The sequence below is a fragment of the Homo sapiens genome, chromosome 3, assembly GCF_000001405.40.
Source record: "Homo sapiens chromosome 3, GRCh38.p14 Primary Assembly".
NCBI classification, from domain to species: domain Eukaryota; kingdom Metazoa; phylum Chordata; class Mammalia; order Primates; family Hominidae; genus Homo; species Homo sapiens.
In genome coordinates this window covers 144,520,988-144,526,404 of record NC_000003.12, presented here as the reverse complement: position 1 = coordinate 144,526,404, position 5,417 = coordinate 144,520,988, and the positions used below count along the sequence as shown (strand labels likewise).

Here is a 5,417-nt window from a genome sequence, read left to right as displayed (position 1 = left end):
CTCATTTGTCAAGAGGATGGGCTTTACTCATCAAAGTCTGCGGCACATGCCCAATTCAGAATTAGCACGGGGAGCAGGTCAAGCTCACCCCTCCCCATGGTCTGAAAGTGGGAGGACAGTTCCTCAAAATGTAATGAGGTCTCTGCTGTACTTATGAAAGTAGGGATGAAGGATTGTCAACAAGAAAAAAAAAATGGCCACAAATCAAAATTGTAAAACTAGCTGAGGTAGAAGTAAAAGTAAAAGATAACTCTACATTTTTTAAAAAGAAAAATCATGTTTTAAAAATATTGGATACTTCTTCTTTAGCATATAACTTTATTAGGGTATTTAATAAGCTGCACTTATTTGCATAATAGGTTATTTCCCCCATTTGACTCTTGACTCCCTATACATATATATCCCATTGCACCCAAGATTATCCTGTGGAATTCTATGGATTTGTTTGCAGCTGCCTTCCTCATCACTGGAGAGCTCCTCAAAGATCAGGGTCTTGTTGTGTACTCTGTGAACACAGTGCCTGGCACACTGTAGGCATCTCATGCTTGTTGAAGAAAATGGAATTCTTGAGGCAGGGAGTATGTCTTACTTACCTTCTTTCTCTAGCCCATATTACCATACATATACAGATGTTCACTGAGTGAGCAAACAAATGCTTAAGAAAATAGAAGACAGTAATTTAGAAATACGCAGGACTCTAGTGGTAAATAAATTTTATTTCTTTTGCGCATTCAAAATCATAACTTAGGCATCACTACAATGAGAGACTACTGCTGAAAGAATGGAAAATCCATGATTTTTAGGCTCACAGAAGAAATGAAATGTCAATATCTATATGAAATTATAATTTTAATTCTGTACTGCTCAGTAAGTGGGTTAAATGAACAACAAAATAAAAAAAATTGATATTAAGTTTTAAAAATTACAATGCAAATATATTGCTCAAAATTATAAAATTGTTTGGAAAACCAAATGCTAGTGTCTCAGATGATTGGGACAGAGGCTGCTGGTTGTCCTTTCAAGATTGTGTTCCCTTCTTTCTCAGTAATAGGAACCCCAAATCTTAGCTGGGCATCTGGCAGCATCACGCAAAAATTACACTTTCTGTCTGACCATTCAGCTAAGTGTGTGTAGATAACGAAGTTCTGGAAATGGTATGTACACATAAATAGGTCACATCTTCTTGGAAATATCTTTAAAGGTCAGGGATATGGCCCATCCCTTTCTTGCTCTCTTTCTTATTGTCAGAACTAGTTTTTATGGCTAGAGTTGAAACAGCCATGTGAGACCATGTGATCCTTGGGTATGGAGACCACGCATGGCAAGCAGCAAGACAGATGAAGCCTGCTCCCATAACATCATGGACCATCATATTCATATCACCCCTGGGCTTCCCCTCTGGACATATATGTGAGAGGAAAATAGACTTCTATTGTGACTAACCCCCTTTTATTTTGAGTTTATTGTCATTTGTGACCAAACTTAGTCCTAACTAAAGCAATGACTATTTATTATCTATGTCATATTTCCATTCCATTAACATGAATAACAGACACTTGCTATGTTCTGACCTACAAATCTCTTGGTTAGCCTTTCACTTTCTTTCTGGTCAGTTTTTGTTCTAAGCCTTTGAATGTTACAGGCAGTAAGGTCAACAACAGCACTTTGCCAAGAGCCAAAATATCTCTCCAGGGAGCCTATAGCAACACTGACAGGATATCAGGCTTTAACATCCAAACCACATGACTCAGATTAATTGATTTCTTCTTCCCCCTACTGAAAGGATTTTAAATAGTTCTGTAATGCCACTATCAACCCACCACCTTATCTGACATGTGTCCTTTCTGAAAGACCCATTCAAGCTCTACTCCTCTTTTTCTCAGCCCAGCCCTGGGTGACCTGAGCCATTCCTCTTATTCTCTTTGCTGCTCATTTGGCACATACCATTTTTTTTATGGGGAGAAGTGAGACTGCCTCCTTCCCTTTTCTACCTTCAACTGTGTAGAATCCACTGGTTTGGCTATTTATTTTTAGTTTTCAAAATACCGTAGAGCATGAATAAAGATCAAGAGAGGAAGGCTTTTCATGTCATGTTTTTTGACTAATTACAAAACAGGATATTTTAAAAGTTTCTTGCCCTATTTGATGACCAAACTGAAGTCAATTTAATCAACAGAATATCATGGTCTCTCTGTCAGTGCTGCAGCACTTTGTTTTAGGAACTTGCACTATTTATTATTTGCCCAACTCACTGCCATTGCAGTAAGAATATTCCATGTTTAGAATCTAGAATCTAGATTAGAATTAGAATCTAGAAATTAGAATCTAGAATCTAGAATCCAGCTATTACATGAATATGTTCTGAAGTATTTCTTAGCAATACACTGTTAGATAAATATATAACTGAGAGGAAGTAAACACAGAAGGTGCTCAAACTTCTTTGAATTAATAGAATGACAGAACATTATTTCCAGTCATTTTTACTAACCTCATAAAATGTTGTCTTGAAACAGATGAAGGAATGGAGACACACAATTTCCTCATGATCTCCCTAGATGATAGCCCCAGAATAAGAACAAGAGCCCATAGCTCTGTGCCCTAGCTCCTGGACAGAGTGGTCTCAGCAACAAGTCACAAAGTCCCCACAATTGCAGAGCCCTGGTCATCACCATCTTCTTATCTTCTCCCACTATTGCTTGTCTCTGCCTGCCTTGGGATAAGGGCCACACACTGGCAGAGTGTCCATCATGCCCAGAGGAGCAGGCACTCATCAGCTGTACTGCCATGTGTGACTCAACCTGTCATACTGAGGCTATGGCTTCCCAGTGCCTGCCTGGAGGGGCCAGACAAGACAACTTAGACATGGGGAGGAGAGAGCACTCCACCGTGAGAAGTTTGGCCAATTAGAGACAGCAGGTAGCAAGAAGCTGGCAGAGAAATTGCTCTTGTCTTGCCTGTTATGGATTTTCCCCGATTGTAGGTCCAGCTGTGTTTTCTTCTTAAGCTGTGGATGAATCAGAAACAAATTTATATTTGATTTTCCTCCTCACTTTCCCTTTTACTCTTACTCCCCTGAATAATAAATTAGCACCTAAGTTTGTCTAGGCCTCTGCTTTCTAAGAAACCTAGATCTCTTAGTTCGTGCTCCAATTAGTATACTCAAATATCTGGCAATCAAGGATTACATCTGCAATCCAAGCAATAGTACAACAGTAAGCAGGAAAAGAGAAAGCATACAGCTTCTCCTTAGTCAGACAATTTCCCAGAAATTATAAACAACACTTCTTCCTAATTCTCATTGGCTACACTTGGAAAAAGAGACATACCTAGCTACAAAGAATGCCTAGATGTTCCAGAAGATAATGTGTTAAGCTAAAATTTGCAAAACCATAATACAGGAAGGAGAAGATAATTTCAAGGGTGGACAATCAGTGATATTTCATACAGTATTCACAGATTGGAGCTGAAACAGTCTGACTCCTAAGTCACTGTTGCAGTCATTTTTCTCTATCTGCAAATCTCCAGCACACCTTTCACCATTTTTGTTTTCAGTTAATGACCTTGGTTCTTTTCTCAATAAAAAATTGAAGCAATTGAGAGAATAATTCTACAAGCTCCTATTGTAATATCTGCCCACCTGCTTGCAACTATGTCCATATTCTTTGTGTGTATCTTCACTCCTAGTCAAGGCCATTCCTTTCACTTGTAAATTACGTCTCATTCTTTCTCGGTCATTCCAATACATCACTCCACTTATTCTTTTCTTCTCCTGTGGTTCACTGTTTGAAGCAGACAAAAGCATGTTGTAATTTCACCTGTCTCCAAAAAGACTTTCATTATCCTCTTCCTCCTCCAGTTACTGTCCCATTTCTCTCTTATTATTTACAGCAAAACTCCCCTTTTGATGCAGTTACCTCACTTAGCTTAAATCACAACGTATTTGGCTGTTTTTTTTTTTTTTTCTACCTTTCTGGTCCCTGCACCTGACTCTTCTCACTGAGTCATCCTCTTCCTCCTCACTGCTAAATGTTAGAATGCTCCAAGGCTCAGTCTTTGATTCTCTTCTCTGTGCTATCAGTGCTTACGTGCTAGGTGATCTTTTCCAATTTCATGGCTTTGAATACCATCGGTGTTCTCATAGCTCCCACATTTGTGACATCTTTTGTGGTCCCTACCTTTCATACTCAACAACCACCAAATCACTATCTCTACTTGATTTCTAACAGGTATTCCTTAAATAGGATGTCTAAAACTGAGCTCCTGACCCAAATTGGCTTCTTCCACAGTATTCACCACCTAAGTTAATGGCAACTCCATGTTTCTAGATTTTTAGATTGAAAGCATTGATGTCATTCTTGACTTCTATGTTTCTTTTACACCCCACACTAATCCAGTCAGCCAATCTTTCCCACTCTACCTTCAAAGAAGATCCAGAACTTACCACTTTCCACCACTCTCATCTTTTACCTGAGTCGGTGCTACTTATTCTTTTATCTATCCTCAACCCAGAACCAAAAGAATGCAGTTAAACCAAGGTCATATCATTTCACTACTCTGTTGAAAACTCTCCTATGGCTTTCCATCTTATTTGGACTTAAAGTAAAAATTATTGCTAGGATCTAAAACTCATTGTATGACCTGTCTCACTCTCTATCACCTCTCTTACTTACCCGTCTCTTGATGCTCTTCTCTTCAGTAGATGATGCATTCTACCTGGAACTTCAGCCCATCCCACTACTTCCTATCTCCTTTCCCTGCTTTCTTTATCTCCTTAGTCTTCAACACCATATGACACAGTACATAATTTACTTAGACCATCTATTATTGGTCTCTTTTGCTAAAATATAGGCTAAATAAAGCCAAGATTTTCTTTCTAGTAGTTCTTGTTGTCTGTATTCCAATATCTAGATATAACGTGGGTACTTACAGTATCTCAGTTTCTAGAGAAGTCCCTGGCACATAATAATAAGTATTCAGTAAATCTTTGAGAAGGAAATAAATGACAGGTTGCCCTGTGGTCTTACAATGGCTTAGCATATGCCTCATTCATCTTGTTCAAAGGAGGCTCACACCTGTTCTTGGCTGTGCCCCAAGAACATCTGAACTTAAATTTCCTGAGAGACTTTTTCTAAAAATTGCCTCCCTGGGGCATGCATTACCAAATTGCTGCATGTGGAAAATCCTATTGCAAGAACAACAGTAGCTAAACAGAATGTGGAAATAAATTCAATTACAACAAATGAAAAAAGTGAGGCAGCCATAAGAAAAAAAAATGTATATGAAGCACATAAAACAAGACCTAAATGAATGGAAAGACAGCCTGTGTGCTAACACTAAGTAAAAATGTAAATATACCAAAAGTTAATATACAATCTAAGAAAACTTCAATCAATGTTTCAGTGAGATTTTTTTGAACT

General features: G+C 38.4%; 1 long non-coding RNA gene across 1 annotated transcript; it reads right to left on the bottom strand.

The window, feature by feature from the left end:
- Positions 1-696: 696 nt before the first annotated feature.
- LOC124909444 (uncharacterized) lies at positions 697-4,954 on the bottom strand. Its single transcript, XR_007096125.1, has 2 exons — positions 3,638-4,954; positions 697-3,004 (listed from the first exon to the last, which is right to left on the bottom strand). It is a non-coding gene; the product is annotated as an uncharacterized LOC124909444 (long non-coding RNA).
- Positions 4,955-5,417: the final 463 nt, after the last annotated feature.